General features: G+C 35.6%; 1 protein-coding gene and 1 pseudogene across 10 annotated transcripts in view; both read right to left on the reverse strand.

Annotated features, from left to right (window-relative positions):
- The window catches only part of CD163L1 (CD163 molecule like 1), a 125,386-nt gene extending 99,718 nt beyond the window's left edge, over positions 1–25,668 (reverse strand). For 5 of the 10 annotated variants that reach the window (XR_931282.3, XR_007063068.1, XR_007063067.1 and 2 more), the window contains exons 1-4: positions 25,612–25,668; positions 22,669–22,761; positions 14,889–15,209; positions 13,931–14,251 (exon numbers count right to left, since the gene is read on the reverse strand). Coding sequence is in view for 5 of the 10 variants with exons in the window: in XM_011520616.2 (XP_011518918.1) it covers positions 13,931–14,251; positions 14,889–15,209; positions 22,669–22,761; positions 25,612–25,642 (766 nt within the window). In the remaining 5 variants the exon portion in view is untranslated. Of the gene's footprint in view, positions 1–10,326; positions 10,373–11,720; positions 11,904–13,930; positions 14,252–14,858; positions 15,210–20,127; positions 20,287–22,668; positions 22,762–25,611 lie in introns of those variants that run through there. The other 5 variants (NM_001297650.2, XM_011520617.3, XM_011520619.2 and 2 more) reach the window with 5 other exon arrangements.
- On the reverse strand, positions 20,292–21,593 carry LOC100419928 (M-phase phosphoprotein 8 pseudogene; annotated as a pseudogene).
- Positions 25,669–27,350: the final 1,682 nt, after the last annotated feature.

A 27,350-nucleotide genomic window follows, 5' to 3' on the forward strand; every position in this document is an offset into this window, starting at 1 on the left:
AATAACAAACCAAACCCAAATCCTGCAGAAGAAAATTATACCAAAGATCAGAGCAGAACTAAATGAAATTGAAAAACAACAACAAAAAAGATGAATGAAACAAAAAGCTGGGTCTTTGAAAAGATAAATAAAATTGATAAACAATTAGTGAGATTAACCAAGATAAAAGAGAAGATCCAAATAAGCTCAAATAGAAACAAAATAAGAAATATTACAACCAATATCACAGAAATACAAACAATCATTCAAGGCTACCATGAACATCCTTAAATGCATAAACTAGAAAACCAATAGGAGATAGGTAAATTTCTGGAAATATACAATTCTTCTAGATTAAACCAGGAAGAAATAGAAACTCTGAACAGACCAATAGCAAGCAGTGATATTGAAATGGTAATTTTTAAAAATGAGAACAAAAAAAGTCCAGAACCAGATGGATTCACAGCTGAAATCTATCAGATATTCAAAGAAGAATTGATACCAATCCTATTGACACTATTCCACAAGATTCAGAGAGAATCCTCCGTAAATCATCCTGTGAAGCCAGTATCACCCTAATACCAAAACCAGGAAAGGACATAACAATAAAAGAAAATTGCCTGATAAATCTAGATGCAAAAATCCTTAACAAAACACTAGCTAATTGAATCCAACAACATTATCAGAAAGATAATCCACCATGATCAAGTGGGTTTCATACCAGGGATGAGGGATGGTTAAACAAACACAAGTCAATAAATGTGGTACACCACATAAACAGAATTAAAAGCGAAAATCACATGATCAACAGATGCAGAAAAAGCATTTAACAAAATCCAGCATCACTTTGTGATTAAAACCATCAGCAAAATCAGCATAGAAGGGATATAACTTAAGGTAATAAAAGCCATCTATGGCAAACCCACAGCCAACATTCTACTGAATTGGGGAAACATTGAAAGCATTCCCCCGAGAACTGGAACAAGACAAGGATGCCCACTTTCACCACTTCTATTGAACATAGTACTGAAAGCCTTAGCCAGAGAAATCAGACAAGAGAAAGAAATACAGAGCATCCAAATTAGTAAAGAGAAAGTCAAGCTGTTGTTGCTTGCTGATATGATCATATACCTAGAAAACCCTAAAGACCTCCAACAAAAAGCTCCTAGAACTGATAAAAGAATTCAGCAAAGTTACAGGATACAAAATTAATGTATACAAATCAGTAGCTCTGCATACAACAGCAGTGACCAAGTTGAGAATCAAATCAAGAACTCAACTGTTTTTACAATAGCTGCAAAAAAAAAATTTATTATACTGCCAAAGGCAATCTAAAAATTCAATGAAATTCCCACCAAAATATCTTCATCATTCTTCACAGAACTAGAAAAAACAATCCTAGAAATCATATGGAACCAAAAAAGAGCATGTATAGCCAAAGCAAGACTAAGCAAAAAGAACAAATCTGGAGGTATCACATAACTTCACTTCAAACTATAAGGCAATAGTCACCAAGACAGCATGGTACTAGTATAAAAATAGGCACATAGATCAGTGGAATGGAAAAGAGTACCCAGAAATAAAGCCAAATATTTACAGCCAACTGATCTTTAACAAAGTAAACAAAAACATAAAGTGGGGAAAGGACACCCTATTCAACAAATGGTACTGGGATAATTGGCAAGCCACATGTAAAAGAGTGAAAACGGATCCTCATCTCTCACTCTATACAAAAATCAATTCAAGATGGATCAAAGACTTAAATCTAAGACCCGAAACCGTAAAAATTCTAAAAGATAACATCGGAAAAACCCTTCTAGATGTTGGCTTAGGCAAAGACTTCATGACCAAGAACACAAAAGCAGATGCAACATAAAAAAAGATAAATAGATGAGACTTAATTAAATAAAAAAGCTTCTGCACAGCAAAAGAAACAATCAGTAGGGCAAACAGAAAACCCACAGAGTTGAAGAAAATCTTCACAATCTACACATCCGACAAAAGACTAATTTACAGGATCTACAAGGAACTCAAACAAATTAGCAAGAAAAAAAACAAACAATACTATCAAAAAGTGGGCTAAGGACACAAATAGACAATTCTCAAAAGAAAAAATACAAATGACCAACAAAGATGAAAAAACTCTCAACATCACTCATGATCAGAGAAATGCAAGTAAAAGCCACAATGCAATACCATCTTACTCCTGCAAGAATGGCCATAATCAAAAAGTAATAGATGGTTTCAATGTGGTGAAAAGGGAAAACTTTTACACTGCTGGTGAGAATATAAACTAGTACAACCTCTACGAAAAACAGTGTGGAAATTCCTTAAAGAACTAAAAGTAAAACTATCATTAGACCCAACAATCCCACTACTGGGTCTCTACCGAGAGGAAAAGAAGTCATTATCTGAAAAAGGTATTTGCACATGCATGTTTATAGCAGCACAATTTGCAATTGCACAAACATGGCAACAGCCCAAATGCCCATCAATCAATGACTGGGTAAAGAAATTGTGGTATATATATACATATATATATATACGTGTATATATATACATATATATATACGTGTATATATATGTATATACGTATATATGTATATATACGTATATATATACGTATATATATGTATATATACATTTGGAAGAAAATGTATATATACGTATATATGTATATATGTGTATAAATGTATATATATGTATATATGTATATATATGTGTATATATGTATATATATGGGTATATATATGTGTATATATATGTATATATACATTTGGAAGATATATATGTATATATCTTCCAAATGTGTGTATATATATATGTGTGTATATATGTATATATACATTTGGAAGATATATATGTATATATATCTTCCAAATGTATATATATGTGTATATATGTATATATACATTTGGAAGATATATATGTATATATATCTTCCAAATGTATATATACATATATGTACATATATACATATACATATATGTACATATATACATATATATACATATATGTACATATATACATATATGTACATATACATATACATATATGTACATATATACATATACGTACACATATACATATACATATATGTACATATATACATGTACATATATACATATACATATATGTACACATATACATATATGTACATATATACATATATGTACACATATACATATATGTACATATATACATATACGTGCATATGTACATATACATATATGTATGTGTACATAAATACATATACGTATATATGTATATATGTGTGTGTGTATATATATATATATATATATATATTTTTTCTTCTAAGTGAAGTAACTCAGGAATGGAAAACCAAACACCATATGTTCTCACTCATAAGTGGGAGCTAAGCTATGAAGATGCAAAGGCATAAGAATGATATAATGGAGAATAGAGCAGCAGATCCTGACAAGGAGGGTTCTACTACCACAGTGCTCGAGCTCTGCTAAGGGAAAAACTGCCTCCTCAAGTGGGTCCCTGAACTCCATGACTCCTGACTGGGAGAGAACTCCTAACAGGGATTGACAGACACCTCATGCAGGAGAGCTCTGGCTGGCATCATGCCGGTGCCCTCTGGGACAAAGCTTCTAGAGGAAAGAGCAGGCAGCAATATTTGCCGTTCTGCACACTCCGCTGGTGATAACTAGGCAAATAGGGTCTGGAGTGGAGCCCAAGCAAACTGCAGCAGACCTGGAGAAGAGGGGCATGACTGATAGAAGAAAAACTAACAGACAAAAAGCAATAACATCAACATCAACAAAAGAATGTCCACACAGAAACCCCATGCAAAGGTCTTCAGCCACAAAGATCTAAGGTAGATAAACCCACGAAGATGAGGAAAAACCAGCGCATAAATGCTGAAAATTCCCAAAACCGGAATATCTCTTTTCTTCCAAATGATTGCAACTCCTCTCCAGCAAGGGCACAAAACTAGAGAGAATGAGTTTGATGAAATGACAGAACGAGGCTTCAGAAGGTGGGTAATAAGAAACTCCTCTGAGCTAAAGGAACATGTTCTAACCCAATGCAAGGAAGCTAAGAACCTTGAAAAAAGGTTAAAGAACTACTAACTAGAATAATCAGTTTAGAGAAGAACATAATATGCTTTTCATATATATATGAAAAAAGGTTATTTCATATATATATCTCATATATATTCATATATATCTCATATCATAACTATCTCATATATATTCATATATATACATGTATATATGTGTATATATGTATATGAATATATATAAATATATATACATATGTGTGTGTGTGTGTGTGTGTGTATATATATATATACACACAGGTGCACCCAATACAGGAGCACCAGATTCATAAAACCAGTTCTTTAAGACCTACAAACAGACTTGGACTTTGACACAATAATAGTGGGAGACTTTAACACCCCACTTCCAATATTAGAAAGATCAACGAGACAGAAATTTAACAAGGATATTCAAGAGTTCAACTCAGCTCTGGACCAAGCAAACCTAATAGATATCTACAAAACTCTCCACAGCAAATCAACAGAATATACATTTTTCTCAGCACCACATAGCACTTATTCTAAGCTCGACCTCATAATTGGAAATAAACACTCCTCAGCAAATGCAAAAGAACAGAAATCATAACAAACAGTCTCTCAGGCCACTGTGCAATCAAATTAGAACCCCAGAATTAAGAAGCACACTCAAAACCACACAACTACATGGAAACTGAACAACTTGCTTCTGAATGACTACTAAGTAAATAACAAAACTAAGGCAGAAATAATGAAGTTCCTTGAAACCAATGAGAACAAAGAGACAATGCACCAGAATCTCTGGGACACAGCTAACACAGTGCTAAGAGGGAAATTTATAGCATTAAATGCCCACATCAGAAAGCAGGGAAGATCTAAAATTGACACCCTAACATCACAATTAAAAGAACTAGAGAAGGAGAGCATACAAATTTAGAAGCTAGCAAAAGTCAAGAAATAACTAAGATAAGAGCAAAACTGAAAGAGACAGAGACAGAAAAAAACCTTCAAAAAAACAATCAACCCAGGAGCTGGTTTTTTGAAAAGATTAACAATATAGATAAACCACTAGCCAGACTAATAAGAAAGAAAAGAGAGAAGAATCATATAGACACAATAAAAAATGATAAAGGGGATATCACCACTGATCCCACAGAAATACAAACTACCGTCAGAGAACACTATATCCACCTCTACACAAATAAGCTAGAAAACCTAAAATATTTGGATAAATTCCTGGACACATACCCCCTCCCAAGACTAAACCAGGAAGAAGTTGAATCCCTGAATAGACCAATAACAAGTTCTGAAAATGAGGCCCTAATTAATAGCTTACCAACCCAAAAAAGCCCAGGACCAGATGGATTCACAGCCGAACTCTGCCAGAGGTACAAAGAGGATTTGGTACCATTCCTTCTGAAACTATTACAAACAATAGAAAAAAAGGGACTCCTCCCGAACTCAATTTTATGAGGCCAGCCTTATCCTGATTCCAAAACCTGGGAGAGACATGACAAAAAAGGAAATTTCAGGTCAATATCCCTGATGAACATCAATGCAAAAATCCTCAATAAAATACTGGCAAACTGAATCCAGCAGCACATCAAAGCTTATCCACCACGATCAAATCGGCTTCATCCCTGGGATGCCAGGCTGGTTCAACATACACAAATCAATAAACGTAATCCATCACATAAACAGAACCAGTGACAGAAACCACATTAGTATCTCAATAGATGCAGAAAAGGTCTTCAATAAAATTCAACATCCCTTCATGGTAAAAAAAAAAAAAACTCTCAATAAACTAGGTATTGATGGAAGACATCTCAAAATAATAAGAGCTATTTATGACAAACCCATAGCCAATATCATACTGAATGGGCAAAAGCTGGAAGCATCCCCTTTGAAAACCAGCACAAGACAAGGATGCCCTCTCTCACCACTCCTATTCAACATAGTGTTGGAAGTTCTGGCCAGGGCAATCAGGCAAGAGAAAGAAATAAAGGGTATTCAAATAGGAAGAGAGGAAGTCAAATGGTCTTTGTTTGCAGATGACATGATTGTATATTTAGAAAACCCCATCGTATCAGTCCAAAAACTCCTTAAGCTGATAAGCAACTTCAGCAGTCTCAGCATACAAAATCAATGTGCAAAAATCACAAGCATTCCTATACACCAATAATAGACAAACAGAGAGCCAAATCATGAGTGAACTCCCATGCACAATTGCTACAAAAATAATAAAATACCTAGGAATACAACTTACAAGGGACATGAAGGACCTCTTCAAGGAGAACTACAAACTGCTGCTCAAAGAAATCAGACAGGACACAAACAAATGGAAAAACATTCAATGCTCATGGATAAAAAGATTCAATACTGTGAAAATGGCCATACTGCCCAAAGTAATTTATAGATTCAATGCCATTCCTATCAAGCTACCATTGACTTTCTTTACAGAACTAGAAAAAACTACGTTAAAATTCATATGGAACCAAAAAAGAGCCCATATAGCCAAGACAATTCTAAGCAAAAAGAACAAAGCTGAAGGCATCATGCTACCTAACTTCAAAACTACACTACAAGGTAGTAAACAAACCAGCATGGTACTGGTGCCAAAACAGAAATATAGACCAATGGAATAGAACAGAGGCCTCAGAAAGAACACAACACATCTACAACCATCTGATCCTTGATAAACATGACAAAAACAAGCAATGGGGAAAGGATTCCCTGTTTAACAAATGATGCTGGGAAAACTGGCTAGCCATATGCAGAAAACTGAAACTGGAACCCTTCCTTACACTTTATACAAAAATTAACTCAAGATGGATTAAAGACTTAAATGTAAAACCTAAAATCATACAAACCCTAGAAGAAAACCTAGGCAATACCATTCAGGATATAGGCACGGGCAAAGACTTTATGACTAAAACACCAAAAGCAATGGCAACAAAAGCCAAAATTGACAAATAGGATTTAATTAAACTACAGAGGTTCTGCTCTGCAAAAGAAGTGAACAGAGTGAACAGGCAACCTACAGAATGGGAGAAAATTTTTGCAGTCTGTCCATCTGACAAAGGGCTAATATCCAGAATCTATAAGGAACTTAAGCAAGTTTACAAGAAAAAAAACAACCCCATCAAAAAGTGGGCAAAGGATGTGAACAGACATTATGTTGGCCACATAAATGTCTTCAACAAACATTTGAAAAAAAGCTCATCATCACTGGTCATTAGAGAAATGCAAACCAAAACCACAATGAGATACATCTCACACCAGTTAGAATGGCAATCATTAAAAACTCTGGAAACAACAGATGCTGGCGAGGATGTGGAGATGTAAATTAGTTCAACCATTGTGGAAGACTGTGGTGATTCCTCAAGGGTTTAGAACTAGAAATACCATTTGACCCATCAATCCCATTACTGGGTAAATACCCAAAGATTATAAATCATTCTATTATAAAAACATATGCACACATATGTTTATTGCAGTACTATTTACAAAAGCAAAGACTTGGAACCAACCCAAATGCCCATCAATGATAGACTGGATAAAGGAAACGTGGCACATATACACCATGGAATACTATGCAGCCATAAAAAAGAATGAGTTCATGTTCTTTGCAGGGACATGGATGAAGCTGGAAACCATCATTCTCAGCAAATTAACACAAGAACAGAAAATCAAACACCACATGTTCTCACTCATAAGTGGGAGTTGAACAATGAGAACAGATGAACGCACAGAGGGGAACATCAGACACTTGGGCATGTCTGGGAATGGGGGGCAAGGGGAGGGAGAGCATTAGGACGAATACCTAATGCATGTGGGGCTTAAAACCTAGATGACAGGTTGATAGGTCAGCCAATCACCATGGCACATGTATATCTATGTAACAAATCTGCATGTTCAGCACATATATCCCAGAACTTAAAGTAAAAATAAATAAATAAATAAATAATAAAAAGGACTTTGGGGACTTGGGAGAAAGGGTGGGAGGTGGGTAAGGGATAAAAACTACACATTGGATACAGTGTACACTGCTCAGGTGATGGGTGCACCAAAATCTGAGAAATCACTACTAAAGAACTTATTCATGTAACCAAATACCACCTGTTCCCCCAAAACCAGGTTGATAGGTGCAGCAAACCGCCCTGGCACATGTCTACCCATGTAACAAACTTGCATGTTCTGTACATGTATACCAGAACCTAAAGTAAAAAATAAATAAATAGACAGAGTGGTTGAATGGATTAAGAAAAAACATGGTCCAAATATATGCTGCTTACAAGGGACTCACTTCTTTAGTTTTAGGACACACATAGGCTGAAAATAGAGATGGAAAAATGTATTTCATGTAAATGGCAACCAAAAGTAAGCTAGAGCACCTGTGCTTATATCTGACAAAACAGATTTAAGTCCAAAATTGTAAAAAGAAACAAAGAAGTCCATTATATAATGATAAAGGGGTTAATTCATCAAGAGGATATAACAAGAAAAAATATATATGAGCCCCTGTCAAAGCACCTAAACATATAAAGCGAATATTAAGAGATTGAAAGGGAGAAATAGTAATACGTAATAGTAGGGATTTTAATACTCCACTTTCAAAAATGGACAGATAATTCAAACAGAAAATCAATAAGGAAATAGCGGACTTGAACAACACTATAGACTAAAGGAACCTAACAGACATATATGTAACATTCCATCTAAAGTAGCAGAATATAGCTTCTTTTAAAGGGCATCAAATATATATTCACTTTCAATGTTCTTTAGATGGCATGTCTTCATATCGTTTGCCCAGTAGATTCTGAAAACCAGAAGTCATTGATAAAAATCATGGAAAGATATCCCATGTTTATGGATTAAAATAATTAATATTGTTAAAATGTTCATTCTACCTCAAAAGACCTACAGGTACTGTATTGCATGCTTAAAAGCAGCTACGAAGGTAGATACTATGTTAAATGTTCTTACCATCAAAAAATTAATAATAAAATGAGTGGGAAGAAACTTTGGGAGGTGATGCATATTCTTATGGCCTTGATGGTGGCGATGGGCTCATGGGTTTACAGTTTTTCTCAAACTCATCAGGTTGTGTATATTAAATACGTACAGCTTTTTACATGTCCAACAAACTCATTTAAGGGCTTTAATAAAATGATAAAGGCAGGTCAGATAGCAAGAATTTGACAATGTCATACCTGCAAATGTGATTCTTGTTCAGTGAACCTAACAATCCATTCCCCTCATGTAGGTATCCTTCCAAATTATAGAGGTTTCAGATTGTCTGTATTTAATGGTACTGGTCAATGATTAATTATAACTTACTTCCCTTGCTTCTTTTGCTCTTAGTTAAGTCTCATCAAACACATTATACAATTATATAATAAATTTCCTATGAAGAGTGTATATTCTGACCAATTTTCAAAAACATTCTGGCCTACTTGGTAGTTATATTGCTAATTGCAAAACAATAATTTGAAGCTTTGTTTATATGTCATTCTATTATAAATTTAGTAACAGATAAATCCTGCTGAATCAGATAATTTCTGGTTGCCCTTGGCAAAACTGGGTTTCTATAACTGAAAAATCTGTAACTGAAGCCAAACAACTTTAAATAAAACTATAAAATCCTAGCTGTTTTGATTGCCAAGATATCCCCTTTATGGTTTTAACTATCATCCAGAAACTAAAATACGGAGTAAAATTAGGGAATATATTTTATTTAGCTACATAACATAGTCAATTGTACTGATAAAAAAAATTTTTTTAAGTCAATGGAATCTATTTAGTATGAAATATACATTCACTTTCAGTGTTCTTTAGATGGCATGTATTCATATCGTTTGCCCAGTAGATTACTAGTTCCTTGAGGATAAAATATGTAACACATACTTTTTTCTTATTTTTCATAGAATCAGTCATTGTGTCTAGTACACAACAAGAAAAAGCCCTAGAAAAATCACCTCTTTGTCACTTATCACTTATCTCTTTAGTTCCTTTCTCCACTCAGAGTAGTATTCTCCCACTGTAAGCCAGTATTTTGATATGATTTACCAGCTTCTGGACTAAAGCCCCGTTCCTCACTTCTTCATTCTCCCATTCAGCTGTACTGTATCAAACCTAGACTTGACTTCCCTTTGTTCTCTTTTGTTTCTATACCTATAAACCATGCTCATCATTACTACTTGCTTTCAACTGGCTGTAATTTTGGCAAGAATTTGATACTCTATTTTGCACTTTTGGGGACATTTGTGGTTACTTAAACATAGTGAAAATATAAAACTAACTTTTGCTAATTCTGCTGCTGATGTTCCTTTCACAGATCCCAGGTAGCTGGAAGAAATAAATAAATTATGTTTGCAGATTTAAGTAATCCAATCAAACTAGTCTATAGGCATCAATACCAAAGTAAAAATATAAATAACAAATTATTTAATCCGAGTTTCTTCTACAAAAACTGACTTTTAAAAATGTAATTATATATACAATATTGTGTTATGTGCCAAAATTGTTGAACATAATCAGAAGATATGTGTAGCAAAGTTTAATAAACAAGAAAAAACTATGTAAAATAAAGGGTATTATCTCAAATTTGAAATTGTAACTGAATACTTTTATCTTCCTCATTTCGTCATAAAGTTTTTCAAACCATGTAACAATTAAAACATATTTTAGGTTAAATAATAGAATTCTTAGGGGCTATTATGACATTTAAAAATAAAAATAAAATGTCCACCTCAGTAGGCATTACTGGAAATAATCAAAAATGTTTTAAGAATTTCCTTGGATTTGTCTTTATAGAAAATTTGTAAACCACAAAAACATATCCGTCCAGATTCCTCTAAAATCTCCCAAGATTTTATCAATTGCAAAGGCCTCAAGCACTACTGATATGCTGATACTAAATTTATATCTCTAATTCATACATTTCTTCTGAGAATTTCCAGTGGGAATATCCACCTACATATCTTCCAAGTCCCTCAAAAATGTTCCAACACTCTTAGCATCTTTCTTTTAAATGGTACTACTAGCTACAAGGCTGTACCCATAAGAAATTTGGGAAAAATTCTTACCCTTCTTTCTTTCTCACCTCTTTTTTCACTTCTCTTGGTACTATCAAAGCTGCTGTGTAAATATAACTCCAATCCATCCACTTATCTCTATCTTAACTATTTTAGCCCTAGTCAAACCACTATCATGTCTTACCTGACCTCCTTCAGGGTCTTCTTAACTTCTGTCTCTGCATCCAAGCTTGGCTCTCAAAAGCTATTCTTCATTCAGTTAGTCCACATGATATTTTAATAATCAAATTTTATCATGGTAATTATCTGCATAAAACCCTTCAAAGAATACCCTTGCCTATTAAAATAAAGTCTAAAACTCTTGCCATAGCTCCCCAGTCTGAGTACCAGCCCTCAGCTTCATCAACTATCACTCAACCTTCCTCATTAAGTTATAGCTACTCCAGTGTTTTCTCTACCCTTGGAGGCCACCAAGTCCTTTCTTACTTCAGGAGAATTGGGTTTCTCCTTTTGAAATACTGTTTATTGAAAAACTGCTTTTAACACCTCAGATTTCAGTAAAGCCAATTCTAAAGACTTACATTAAGTGAGTCATCCTATTAAATAATCTGATACTAATTTGTATCTTTATTTCAAAACATTTATTGGAGTTTACAAACCTGTAGATGTTTGTAGAAGAAAAAATAGAAGAAATTAGAAGACTTTACAGAAGGTTCTAAGTACTCTTCCTGACTTTGAACTACTCCAAGACTTTAAGTTCTTTCAGATTATTCACTTGTTGTAAGAACTCTGTCAGCCAGTAAGAGACAGATCACTTAGAAATTAAAGAACTTTGTATCTTCCTGAAATTCCAAACATAAAAAAATGATAGGAATTGGATTTTAAGAATAAGAACAAAGATTTATCATATTTTCTATGCCTCTTCCACCTCTCCGAGTTTCTAATAAATTAACCAGTTAAAACATAAACATGTATAGATCACCTAAAATTGCTGAAAACTGTGCTAATTGTTAGGAATACATAAGTTTAAAATAATTCCCATCCCTCTGGTATTAGCATATTTGAGAGAAGGCGGGAAATTAAATAACTAAAATGTTATTAACACATGAAGAATGAGGACAGAGTGCCATCATAGCATATGAATAGGATATGTTTATATTTGGGGAAGGCTTCCCTGAGGAAATGCTCTTTAAGATGATGTTAATGGATAACCAAATTTAGCCAAGAGAAATGAAGGAGGAAGAGTTTTTTTCTACCTAGAGGAACAGAATGTCTCAATGTTCTGAGGTGGGTTGGAAAATATCACGTACATGAAAGAACGCAGCAGAGATCAAGCAGAAAAGAGGAGAGAGTAGCAACATCTCGTAGATAATAAGAAATTTCCTATATTACTATAAAGTCAACTAAACGTGCTGCAAAAAACATCACTTCAGCTGCACTGTGGAAAATGGATTTGAAGGTGTTTGAAATGACTACAGAGAGGTCACTGGGGAGAGGTCGTTGCTTTCCGTAGTGACTTCTTAGAGGTGGTAAGTGATTGTTGCTTGGTTTATACTGATAGTAATGGAAATGGTGAAAAGAAGCCGCATTCTTCAGCCGGGTGCGGTGGCTCACGGCTGTAATCCCTGCACTTTGGGAGGCTGAGGCGGGCAGATCACAAGATCAGGAGATCAAGACCAGCCTGGCCAATATGGTGAAACACCACCTCTATTAAAAATACTGTAGCCGGGCGTGGTTGCGGGTGCCTGCAGTTCCAGATACTCAGGAAGCTGAGGCAGAAGAATAGCTCGAACCCAGGAGGTGGAGGTTGCAGTGAGCCGAGATCATGCCACTACACTCCAGCCTGGGCAACAGCCTGGGTGACAGAATGAGACTCCATCCAAAAAAAAAAGATGAAGAAGGCACATTTTAAAATATTTAAATAGTATAATCATTTCCATCTGGTGATGTAATGAATATAGTGTGCTAACAGAGAAATGAAGGACTTAAAAGTGATCCCCTAGTTGAACAACGAGAACGCATAGACACAGGGCAGGGAACATCACACACCAGGGCCCGTTGGGGGGTGGGGGGCTGGGGGAGGGATAACATTAGGAGAAATACCTATGCATATGACGAGTTGATGGGTGCAGCAAACCAACATGGCACATGTATACCTATGTAACAAACCTGCATGTTGTGCACTTGTACCCTAGAACTTAAAGTATAAAAAAAAAAGTGATCCCTTATTTCTGACTTGAATAATGAAGTGGGTAATAATGCTATTTACTGAGCTTAGGAAGATTAGATGATGAGTAAACAGGTATAAGAAGCTTACTTTTGGAAACATTAAGGTTCGGGTACATTTTGGACCCTTCGTAGCACACGGATATATGTATCTAGAGCTCTTAGGAGGTGTCTGGTGTGGAATTTTAGTTGAAGCTAGGAAAGTAAATTGCCAAAGGAAAGAGGGCAGCGTGAGATTAGGGACTTAGTCCTGATGAAATCTAAGTTTTGGTAGCTGGAAAGAATTAGTAAAGTGGGGAAACTAGACTAAGAATGAGTGACCTCAGAGAAAGAAGGGAAAAATATGATATTGTGTCAAGAAGTTATTTGAAAAAGGTTTTTAGAAAAAAGATTTGATCGGCCTATGGAATACTGCTGAGTGATCAGAAATATTAAAACTCAAAATGTGCTTTAGATTTGTTAGGAAGAGCAGTTTTAGGAAGAGTGTTTAGGAAAACTCCAGAATGGAGCAATTTCAGGGTAACAAAAATGTGTTATAACCAGAGAAAATTCTTCTCCAGAGAATGATTGACCTTTTTCTTTCCATACATACTGTTTCTAAACAAATTGTTCCTTTCTTCTACATGATGTCTTGGGTTCTTACCATAACAAGTTAATGTGACATCCTCATTGTGACTGCAGTCATGATTTCCCCATCCACGATGTCTGCAATTCCAGAGTGCCAACTCATTCCCCTGGCATAAAATGTCATCCAGCCAAATGGGGCGCAATACAGCAGGGCTATTAACAACTCCAGAAGAAATAAAAGAAGATGGACATCCTAGTTGCCTGCACACCACGGCAGCAGTATTCAAGTTCCACCCATCATCACATATAGTTCCCCACCTTTCTTGGAATTTCACCTCCACTCTCCCTGAACAGGAGTTGTTTCCATCCACTAGCCTCAAACCCAGATTGGCTTCACCTACGAGAAAGACAAGCAGACATATGAAAAACTGATTCAACTTTGAGCCTGAAATAAAATCAAAAGGATACGTAGAAGACAGCCCTGTTATGAATGAAGTTACCAAAAATTAAAAAAAAATAACTGAAAATACTTATAGGAGGGGTATGTGAGGCTTTTTTCTAAACACAAATACACAAACAAAAAAAATCCTAGGTGAAAAAATCAATCATTAGCATGATATTCTTTATCATTTTGCTTTAATTTTATACCTCATTTTTCAGAAAATATTTGTTCTGTTAGTGTACCTGGTACATGAAAAAAGGCACTTAAATCAAAGCTAACCCTGCTCCCAAACTTCTTCATTTCTTTCTAAACTCAATTATAGTTATGATAAAGATATTACATTGGTAACTGTAATGCATTCTCTCTCTGTCTCTCTCTTTCTCTCTCCATTTCTTTCTAAACTCAGTTATAGTTATAAAAAGAAAAGCAATTAGACATTACTTTGGAAATAAGGGAAGGGTAGAATATATAAAATATTTCCTACACCTCCCAGAGGGACACTATTAAAGTCATAATAGAAACCCCTACCTTCCAGCAGATGATTCCTGAGGGTAGGTCTTACCTTGCCTTCCTACTCTAGTTAGACTCTTACCATAACAGTTCACACCAACATCTTCTCCATGATAACAGTTATGGCTTCCCCATTCCCGGTGTTGACATTCCCAGAGAGCTGACTCATTTCCATAACAGGAAACATCATCAAGCCAAATTTTTCCATGTCTAGTCACGGCTTGTCCAAAACGAAACATGGCGAAAGAAAATGGACATCCAAGCTGTTTGCACACGACAGTTGAGGCAGTAGTGTTCCACCCATCATCACACACAGTCCCCCACTGTCCCTGGAATTTCACCTCCACTGTCCCAGAGCAGGGACCGTCTCCATTGACCAGCCTCAACTCCAAATCTGTTCCATCTGCAAGAAAGACAGAAACATACATTAGAGATGGCAAAGATTAGAAGGCAGAAATAATATAAGTAGGTGAGATGGATGATGATCATTTAGTTTAAATGTTGTTATTAGAACTTATAGTAGAGAGAAAATAAAAATGAGAAAATTTGAAGTGAGAAGCTTTAATTTTTCATGATAGGGAACTAGAGACCACATTGCAGCATAGTTTTGCTTTGCATTGTAATGTGAAAATTAAAAGAAGGGAAAGAATTTTTTCTTTCTATGCAATTCCCACCAATATAAACCACAGAAAAGGTAAGGTTTGCTGTTGTGCACGCAGAATGAAAGAAAGTCCCTTGGCTAGTCAGTTTCAAAATAATCTGTATCTGAGGAGTCCACCTCACATTTTTGAAGGAGATGTTTTATATACTTAATAATTGAAAACATCTTGTAAGGTTGACATAATAATTTTCTACTCAATAAAATCTACAGCATTAAATACTTTTGAGTATTTATATCCTCAGATGTTTTAAATACATTCAACAATAGGCCTTGCAGGAGGAGAAGACCTAGTCGTCCATGATTGTAATATGCTAGTCCACCTTCTCTAATCAACAGCTATGTGAATCACAGGTAGACAACCACTTCAGAAAGGGCAGTCCTTCAGATGACCATTGGCTACTCATATTCCCATCTTAAAAATTTGAAATAAGTAAAATGGATTTTAAAAAATCCTAGGTGAAAAAATCAACTTAAAACAAGTGAAGTTAATATTAACCCAAATCTACTTGTAAGCCAAAATTTTGAGGAACAGACAATAAAAATTTAAATGGAAAACCAATGTGAAGGGAGAAAATTTTAAAGCAACCATGAGTTTTCAACGTGAAACTTTATGGTGAATTCTGTGCATATGATGATGATGAGAGGGTGTGTTAGTAAGAAGAGCAAGTGAGCCAAAGGGACAAAGAGAAGCAATAAGGAGGAAGAAAAAGATGAAAAAAGAGAAAGAAAAAGAAGGAGAGAGGAAGAGACAGAAAGAGAGAGAGACAGACAGAGACAGAGAGAGAAACAGGGAGAGAGAGTACAATAGAAAAGGCTTCCCAGTTCTGAGTTTCAGTACACAATGGCTTAGTGAGAATACACTTTTCACAAAAGATAACAATATTCTTTCTGAAAGTGGATTGTGAGTTAACCATAAGTCTTCATTCAGTGTGGTCTTGCCTATACTATACTCATAACTAGAAATTTTGGTTTCCTTATATTTCTCTTTCTCAGTTCCTAGTGCTGCTACTGTTTCCTATTTCTTTCTATATGAACATTTTTCTTTTTAGTTGAAATGTGTGTGAGGGGCATTCTAATGGCTGTGCTCATATCATATAACTCTTAAGTCTAATGAAAGCTCTTAAAAATGTAGTTGATACACACACACACAGAGATATATTCTAATATGATTGATATTTGCCATTTCTATTTTTTCAATATACTGATTAAGGTGTTTTTTTCAACGTGTACATTAGAATTTCTACTAATTTTTAGACATACCAAATTTCTACCAAGGTGTGATAAAATTAAAGAAAACTTGATAAATTAAGAACTTCTATTCTTCAAAATACACTCTATAAAAAGTGAAAAGTCACAAATGTGAAGAATATATTAGCAACATATATTATGACTATGGACTAGTATCTAGATTATATTTTTTAAATATATATATTTAGAAAAATAAGCAAAATGGGCAAATGAGTTGAACAGATATTTCACAGAAGAAAACAAAAGGCATGACCATTAAATACATGGAGAAATGCCTAAACTTATTAGTCTTTAGGAAACTGAAAATTAAGATAAAAAGATATAGCTTTATACTCTCTTGATTGGCAAAAATTTAGAACTCTGAATATTTAAAATATGAGTGAGGATATGAGTCATATCCTCATACATATATTTGAAAATATATATACATTGCTAGCAGAATTCATCCTATCTGGTAAAGTTGAAAACATGCACATCCCAGAACCTGCTAATTCTACTCCTACCTATAGACCGTAGTAAACTCCCATGAATCTGCACCAGAGACATATTTATAGCAGAACATTTGACAATAGTAATGAAAAATCCAAATAACTATTGACAGGATAATAGACAAATTCACTGGGAATATTTATTTATACAAGATAATATATTTTACTTAACGAAAACTTAAATAATTATAGCCATTGCAACAGCAGAGATGAAGCTTAGAAATATAATATTGAAAGATAAAAGCAAGTCCCAGAACACTAAATGCAGTTTGATATGTTATAAAGCTTAAAATAAGCAAAACTAAACAATACATTATTTCTGCATCTATATCTATCATATTATTAGAAAGTATTGTATTATTAAAAAGTAAGGTAGTGAGAAATGCACAATTCAGGATAGACATTATCTCTGGTGGGGTTGGAAGGTAGGTGGAAGAGAAGAGGAAAACATACGTAGAAAAAAATGGTTGATAAAAATCCAGTTTCCTGGTTGAGGGATGGATTTATGTGTGCCATTACATTATGCTTAATGATTTGTATATATGTTATAAAATGGCCATTTTTGTCTAATCAAATATAACATTAAACAGCGAGAAATTTAAAGCATTTTAAAAAGCAAATACATTAATCAAAAATATTTGTAACTGGACAAGAACCAATACTATTTTGGAGTACACAAAGATATAGTAATATTATCTATGATTAAACAGAAATAAGAAAATTGCACAAATAAAGCATTCAATTAAAATAATCATTTCAATACCATGATTAAATCTCAACAGCATTTAAAATGTTAATTTAGCCCAGATGCCATGGCTCATGTCTGTAATTTCAACACTTTGAAAGGCAGAGGTGGGAGGACTGCTTGAGGCCAGGAGTTCCAGATCGGCCTGGACAACATAGTGAGACCCTACCTGTAAAAAATTTTTTTTAATTAGCTGGGTATAGTGGCACACATCTGTAGCTGCACTCCAACCTGGCTGACAGAGTGAAACTCCGTCTCTTTAAAAAAAAGAATCCACTTTAATAACAATAAAATTTTATTTAAACTACAAATTTGGCACTAATGAAAAATATAGAAAATAATGAAAAACCTTAAAAATGACAATTTCTGTGTCAGATCTATGAAATGTAATATATTTGAAAAATTACTGAAATACAAAGCAATTAAATAACTTCAATAATCACTCATAAGGTCTTATTAAAATCTATTTGGGTATATCCAAATGACAGAAAACTACACAGCCAATAAAACAAGGTATCATAAGTGATATGTGATAAAATAAAAATGTTAAAGAACTATATAGGTAATAACCAATATATAAAATATAATGAAATAATTTTCTTGAAACATTATTATAAAAAATGCCACAAATTGGTATTTTAAACAATAGTGTTTTTCTCTGGATGTTAATATATTAACAAATATATATTTTTATTTATTTTATTTATTATTTTTATTATACTTTTATTTTTATTAATAGTATTACTTTTATTTTTATTTTAATAGTATTACTTTTTTATTTTAATAGTATTTAAAAGTATTTACTTTTAAATAGTATTTAAATAGTATTTAAAAGTATTACTTTTTATTTTAATAGTATTACTTTTATTTTATTAATGAATATTATTTTTATTTTTATTTTTATTAATATACTTTTATATTTATTAAGTTCTAGGGTACATGTGCACAACGTGCAAGTTTGTTACATATGTATACATGTGCCGTGTTGGTGTGCTGCACCCATTAACTTATCATTTACATTAGGTATTTCTCCTAATGCTATCCCTCCCTGCTCCCCCCACCCCATGACAGGCCCTGATGTGTGATGTTCCCCACCCTGTGTCCAAGTGATCTCATTGTTCAATTCCCACCTACGAGTGAGAACATGCGGTGTTTGGTTTTCTGCCCTTGTGATAGTCTGCTCAGAATGATGGTTTCCAGCTTCATCCATGTCCCTACAAAGGGCATGAACTCATCCTTTTTTTTTTTTTTTTTGACACTGTATATTTATTTGAAAACCGGAAAATACAGGTTTGTGGCTTCAGGGAATCACCCTTGTATACTGTGGTACATGATCAATGATCATTAAATCCTCTTCACACAAAAGAATTTTGCTTCCTCAGTCAACCATATAATAATTCACAAAATATCAAATTCAAAACCCAACACCAGTTTTCCAACCCTCTTTTAGGAATTTTATTATTATAAAAAAAAAAAAAGAAAATTCTAAGAAAGTTTTCCACCCATAGTCTTAACCAATCATGACTATTTTACTTCTCCATGTTCCCCCTTCTGGTCCTTGTACTTTTACATGCATAATCTTTTTTAAAATTCATTTTTGCTTACATTACACACATATTTTTACATGACTGTGTTCACATTTATGTAGGGTTTTTCTTCTCCACTGCATTTTCTAAGTTGTTCTATTTTGCTGTAGCACTAATGAAGATAATACTGCCATAAATAACTATGTATGCACAGCTTTTCCTTCTTTAAAATGATTTCCTTAAAATAAATTCCCAAAACTGGAAATAATGGATGAAAAAAATGATGTTTTTTATAGCCCTTGATAAATATTGCATATATAAATACTCTCATAATTTGGAAAATATATCCATTTTGCAAAGCCATATAAAAATAATTTTTATAATGGGACAAATTCTCTATTAAATACATTTTTATAAGCATTAAAATACTGGTTAATGTAGTTTGTGTCCTATTATTTAATAGTGGTATACTCAAGACAACAGGGGAAATGACCAAGCAGGATGTGAAAAGCTAATAAAATAAGCTGATGAAGCTATAAACCTGAGTATACAATGCTCCATATATCATCTGAGTACCTCTAAAAACCATCCTGATTTTTGCTCACAAATTAGCCTATAATTTTCTAGTCAAAATCATTCTAAGAGAAACAAACCAGAGACTAAGAGATAAGCTGCAGTGTCCAAGAGCTGGAGGATCTTCATTTATGACCGCCCATGGTCATAAACACTTTCTCATAGCTTGACTGTTTCCCTTTCCTTGCTTGTGAAATGTCTTGGCCACTCAACACGGGTTTTCTGCTGCCTCCCGTGGCCCTTACCTCCTCGGCTGAGTCCATGGACCAGAGGCCTCTCTCTTCCCCGCTCAACCTCCAGCCCTTTGGCGTTTGGACAGATATAGGCATAAGCTTCTCTAACTCTGCAGCACTTTTGCCTCTGTCTTGATTCCTCTGCTTTTTAGGCACAGTTTTCTTCTCTAAGAATGCGTTCTTGTTCTCTAGCTTCCTGCTCTCTCTAGTGTCCTCAACCTTTCTCGGGGTCTTCTTTTTCCTCCTGCCTCTGACATCGGTATCCTCCTCAGCACTCATGGCACTGTCTAGGGGCTTCTCAAAGCCATGCTCCAGCCCTGTGTCCTGCCCTGCTCTCTCTCTTGCACTTTTAGTGTTTTGTTTCTCTTCTCTGCTGTCGGAATGTAGCCCTTCATTGTCATCCTCCGGAAAGGGGGAATCATTAAGTACACTTGATTCAGATTCCACCTGGGATTCGACAAATTTTCTTTTTTTGTTTTTCTATTTTCTTTGGGATCTTCTCTTGTTTTCGTCTTTAAATCTCTTATTTCACCCTTTTTAACTTTAATTCCTTTGTTTCTTTTACTTCATCTTTTTTGGGCTTTTTGGACTCCTTTAGTTCTTCTTTGGCTTCAGAAATTCTTTTCTTTGTCCTTAAATCAAACTAAACTTTCCAAGGAGCTCTCCAGGTCTGGTTTGGACTTGTCTTTTAGCTTCCCGGCCTTTGCTTTTTTCTTTTTCAGATCATCTGGGCTTTTCTCCTCTCTCTGCCTTAATTTTTTCTTTTTCTTCTTTGGGGAAGTATCTTCTTTTGTCTTACTTTGCTGACCGCTATCAGAGTTCGCCTCAAATATGTCGTTATTTAAGGATAGTCTCTGAATATCCTTCCTGACTGCTTTGGCTTTGTTCTCTGCAATTTTCTTCCTAAATTCAAGAAGCACTTCTTTACAGTCCTCCAGGTGAGTCTCGGGCTCCCAGGTATCGTCATCCGATGTATAGCCTTTCCAGCGAACTTTGTAAAGAATTTCACCCCCCTCGATCTTTATGTCCAGGATCTTCTCCACCTCGAACACATCCTCTCCGTCCTCCTCACTGTCGCCAAAGGCCTCCGCTCCTCTCGCGGCTGCGTCATTATCCCCGCCCACTACTCCAACTCCTTCTTCGACTTCGGCCAACTCCTCAGTGCTGTCGGCAGCTGACACAGGGGCTGCGGTCACACTCGCTCCCTCCGCAGCCTGCTCCATCCTAGCAGCTCCGCAAACCGCCGAGGAAAACCCGCTGCGACACACACCCCAGCAGCTCCTCGCGTTCCGCGCTCCGCCCTACTCCACATCAGCGGCGTAACGGAAGCCGACCAATGGCGGGCTTGGACCCGCCGCGCCAGCGTGGCCACGTCCCGCTCAGGCTCCGCCGCCTGCTCTTGGCTCCGGGTAGCCGGCCAGGGCGGACACTTAACACTCGCGTCGGCCGCGGCCGGCCCTCCGCGCAGGCAGCCCTGGAGGCGGCCCCGCGAAGCTCAGGAGCGCCCCTGCGACGGGGAGGGCGGACTGCGCAGTGCCGCGCCCGGGCAGGGACCTGGAGCCGCCGCCGCCCACCGGCCCTGCCGCCATCCCCCCACCGCCGCACGGGAAGCGGAAGTGGGTGCGGGACCGCGGCGCGCCCAGCCCGGCCAGCTCCCGCGCCCAGCCCGGCCCTTGAATTCATCTTTTTATGGCTGCATAGTATTCCATGGTGTGTAACACATATATATTTTTAATTGTATTTAATTCTTTGATTTCTGTATCTTGTAAGTTTTTATTAACCGATTTTTCTATTTGCAAAAATACAATATCCATATTTTTTCAGTGAGACATTTTACGTTTGGAAACTATCTTTATCTTTTTTCTTTTTTTTTTTTTTTGAGATGGAGTCTTGCTCTGTCGCCCAGGCTGGAGTGTAGGGGCACGATCTCGGCTCACTACAACCTCCACTTCCTGGGTTCAAGCAATTCTTCCACTTCAGCCCCCCAAGTAGCTGGGGTTACAGGTGCACACCACCACACCCGGCTAATTTTTGTATTTTTAATAGAGATGTGGTTTCACTGTGTTGGCCAGGCTGGTCTCGAACTCCTGACCTCAGGTGATCTCCCCACCTTGGCCTCCCAAAGTGCTGAGATTACAGGCCTGAGCCACTGTGCCCGGCCGGATTTGGAAATTCTCTTTATCTGAAGGAGAAAAATGTCAACGAAAAATGTAATATGAAATGCATAAAAATAATTTGGACACCTTTATTTACAGGGTATAGCTATTGAAGGTCCAACATTATTTTTACATGTTCTATTTCCCTCAAAATATGCACTTAGGGTAGTGAGTAGGGGAAAGGTAGAATAGAGGATTGTAAGCCCAAAAGTTATCATCCATCAGAACTCACTAAAACTGCTGATGAGAAAGCAGGAATTCAGGAGCAGGATGCAAGTTACCACAGCAGAGAAAAGGTTCTGATGACAGCAGCATCTTCCAAAATCTGGAGAAACAAAATATAGCAGGGTAGAATTTCATGTCTTTCTAAGAAATGTTAGATGACCTCAATGACTTAAATCCAAAATAAAATAGAAGGAGTAAGATGAATTATTCTTCCACCTGTCAAGGATACCGCACAAGAAAGTCCTTTTCCCAGGAAAAGCCACAGGACTAGCTCCTGTTTGTGATGGAAAGGCACCAAGTGGTTTGTAACAGGGCAGATATTTTAGCATGTGATTCATTGAAAAATTGCATTCTGTGTCCAAATATATTTTGTGGCTGTTTGGGGTAATTGATTAGCATTTTGGGTTACTGAGTAATTTTTACTTCTCAACTCTTTGACCCTCTCCTCATTTTTACTGTTTTTCCTCCTAACGTTATCCCCCTACTTTGTTCATTCATTTGCTCCTTTATTGAGTATGACATATGTACCCGATCTTGTGCTTCATTATGGGAATAGAGGAATGAATAAGTGTTCTTGCCTGTATTCCACTCAGTGGCTTGTGACTGGAATGTACAAGCAAATCAACATTTGGAGGTCACTATAATAACTGCTGATTGAGCTCATGATTATTTACCAAAGCTATCCACTTTTCTTCAGGGTCACTATTCTATTATTCCTACAGAATCTTGCCACTTCCTCACTTCTCCCTGTCTTTTCAGTCATGCTCAGTTCTGCATCTAATAAAGTTTATGCTACACGTGTGGGGAAAGAATGAACTAAGATAGGCAGGAGCAATACACAAGCGAAGGAGTTGAGAATTTATTCTGAGAGTTATTTGGAGACTATAAAGAATTGAATCAGTGTAATAAATAAAATTTACATTATAGAAAGATTATTTTAAAAGCAGATGGGATGATTAATTCATAGGGGTAAATAAATGTATAAGAAATACTTTAAAATAATATTTATCATCCTGTTTACTTGAGGGGTATGTAACAGCTGTAACTGTTAGAGAACTATCTTAAATAGTATTTTCATTAGTATCTTATGGAAAAGATGAAGTCAGAGTTAAACTGAGCATGTGTAATCCCAGACAACAAAAAACAAAAACCCTAAGAGGACAGAAGGAACAGTACCCATCGGGGAAAGGCCCATGCTGCTTGGGCTACGCAAAAGCAGAGACAGAAGGCGCAACCTGCTTTGGTGGACATCTTTAGTTTTTCAAATGATGCTTTGAAACTAAAATGGATCCCGGGCACTTCTCTAAGAAGTAATCCCAAGTGAGTTTGGCAACAGTCAGTAATAACCATAGAGGAGACTTTATTATTACAATTATCATCAGTCACATCCATCATTCTTGGAAAATGTACCCAAATCAAGAGAAAACCCTCCCTATAGAACGAAACAGGGAGAAATAAGTGTGGAATGGGCAATTAGTGTCCCAATTTCCTTCTTTTCCATCTTGTCCAAAACACTTTAAGTTGGTCTTCTTTTTTCTCTTATTTCTTTTGTTCCTAATAAGAATATTTAGTTCCATCAAACCTCATGTGTAGGATTATCCTAGGAGGCCATTTCATCTTCCTAAATCCTTCCAGGAAACTCTGAGTGCCCATTTGTAAGAATGGTTAGAGCTAAAGATGAACTATAAAGAAAAAAGAATAGTAAGCTCTGACACCAGCACAATCAAGATCTGATGAACGTGAACAAATAGTGCAGTAGGAAATTCTTGAGAAGGAGAATTAAAGTATAATTGCCAGAACTTGTGACCTTCTATATATCTAATACCATCTCACCAATTCAAGACCTTCATCTTTCCCATTCCTTTTCTAATTAGATACATGGCAGACAGCATGTTGAAAGTTAAATAATATTATCTTTTAAGTAACACACATGAATTATGAAGAACTGTAATTCATTAAGATGAGCCTTGCTAGATAGAAGGCAGCCAAGCTTCTCAAACTGTAGAAACCCTTTTTCAAAAAGGAGGCTTTGAAAAATATCAGAACTTCTGCTGGTTTTCTAGAAATGTGCTGGTCTTTAGTCATAAGCAAAACAGTTACAAAATATTAAGTTGACTTGTAGTAATTGCACTGAGGAATGGCACAGAGACACAATGCCAACAGGAGTAGCACTGCATTTTCAAAAGCCTCAATCCTATTTAGGAGTTATAAGTCCCAAATACAGCAAAAACCTCCCTTCGTGATTCTTTATTTCCACGAAATGTCTATGAAGTGCAAGTGCAAAGGTTACTACTAATTTCAGATGTGCTGTGAAAGACTTCTTAGCCATGTATTCCTTTCTTAGTCCTTACTCTTTAGGGTCCATCAAAGACTTGTTCTTTGTTTTTTATCATAATGTCTTCTTATTTATTTGCTTTATTAAAATTTATAGCAGAAAGATCAAGGGCTCAGACTTAGCTGGTCCTGAATTTAAATTACACTTGAGATTCTACTACATGACCTTACATAAGTCAGTTAGTCCTTATAAGTCTTCATTTTCCATCTACCAATGGAGACAATAATATCTATAAAATAGGTTACATGTGTGAATTAAATTGAGATGACCTAAAGCATTTACTGTAGTACCTGGCACTTGATAACAATAAGTTTCTAATTTATCCCTTCTTTCTATTTCCACAACTTCATATCCTTGTGTGACTTCTAATCTCCAGTCTTTATAATACATTTTCTGTTTACTTTATTAATGTTTTCCTCCTTTCTTGGATTTCAGTTTTGCCTCCAATATTGCTGCTACTCTAAGTTCCACAAAACTTTCAATTTTTTTATATTTCTCATGTCCTGTTTTCTTTTTACCTTACTACATAATATTTATATCTGTTTGTTGTTACACATATTCTTAGTATACCCACCATCTCCCAAATGGCAGAGCAAAATAAAAGCAAAACCTTACCAATATGCCACGAGTTTTGAGGCAGCATCATTATGGGTCTATCTCTTCCTGAGTCCTGATGTAACTCCTGGGTCCTCTTATATATAATCTCAGAACTGCTCATGAGGTGAAAACAGATCTGCTATTTGGAAATGACAATACTGTAAAATTGAGTTCATAGTTTTCCAAAGGGGAAGTCATTATAAAAGCTGAGGTTGTTTTTTCTTTGCTACTTCCTTATCACGTTAGGATATGGAAAACAAAGGAAGTTAAATAATATGCCTGGAAAGTCTCACAGAATAAAGGGAACTGTAAATTGCCACTCTAAATTTTCAAAAAGACTCATGTTTCACATTTAAAAATTTTTGTTCCATAAATGTGATCTTGTCAGCACAGTTTTATAGATATTTATCTAAAAGATAAAATATATCATCAGGTTTGTTTACTTTAGCATACATATTTCAACCAGTTATGCTAAAAGGATCAGAAGAGGTTACATTGCTGAAAACTGGCTAGTCTACGAAAGCTTTGCTGATGAAACATGAGCACAGATAAACATATTTGAAAAAATTTCATGTCTATAAAAATGTTTAACAAAATGGAGTCCTTTAAAATTAGTTTTTTATTGTTAATGATTATGTAAAAGAAAATAAAGCTTAGTCATCAAATGAGTTTGGAAAACATTCATTTAAATGATTTCAACCATTAGGTAGAAAACCATGAGTGGCTTCTGAGCTCATAGTGATTGTTCTGTGTTCGGATAGGCCTGTATGTCCTGCCCTGCTTCTTTGGGAAAATTGCTTTTTCCCTTCCTTGATATGTTAAGAATGGTAGATCACATCTTTTCACACGCCCACGTCTCCCCGATTACAGTGACAAGTTCAAGGAAAAGCCAATGACCCAAGTGAGCCCATCAGAGTGTTTGCCAGGATTTTTCGTCCTATACTTCCATGTCGAGTAGGCCTATTAGTAAAAAAGAAGCTAATATATACAGAAATTAAAATGAGATATAAAATATCTAAATACTTTAGATAAATAAGTCCTTATAAATCTCCATTGATAAATTCAAGAACTTTATTTTTTCTTGTCCCTTTTCAACTTAGATACCTGACAAGGCTTTATATAACAGAGGTTAAATAAAATTCTGCTGCAATTAATGCCAAATGTATTTTGAAGTCCAATTAAACATCGGAGCTTGCTAGATATGAGCGAGATGTGCCTCTGAAATGATAAAGTGCCATTCTCAAAATATAGTCTCTTTCTTACTTCTCAGAACTGAGGTAGGTGCCCAAAGTCAGAAGAAATCAGGAGGAAAACAGGGAGAATTTTTTCTTGGAAAGCTTGAGATGAAATGTCTTTGGGGAAATGTAATTCACTAACTAGGATAAGTCACATGATGGAAGAATGGAAGACACAAAAAGAGGATGCTGAAACTTGTTTTAGTATATTATTTCTCAGCCATGCTGAGAAAATTTCCTGAAATTTTTAAAATACAGTATGACCGGAAACGCTTTCATGCTAACAGAATCCATAGCAAACTAACTGCTGATAAAATGATCTCACAGAAGTGGGAACTGAAAATAGAAAACAATGAAAACCTGATTATTGCTATTCTTTGATAGAATAAATGTCTCCACAATATCTCTGCTACTGTTTTGAGTTTCTCCCATTTCTAGACACCCAAGTTCTCTCACTCTCAAATATTTCGTAGCAGGTTCTAATCTAAATGAGTCCCTTTCTTGCCTTTATGATAAAAAAGC

This window comes from Homo sapiens, chromosome 12, assembly GCF_000001405.40.
Source record: "Homo sapiens chromosome 12, GRCh38.p14 Primary Assembly".
Lineage (NCBI taxonomy): Eukaryota > Metazoa > Chordata > Mammalia > Primates > Hominidae > Homo > Homo sapiens.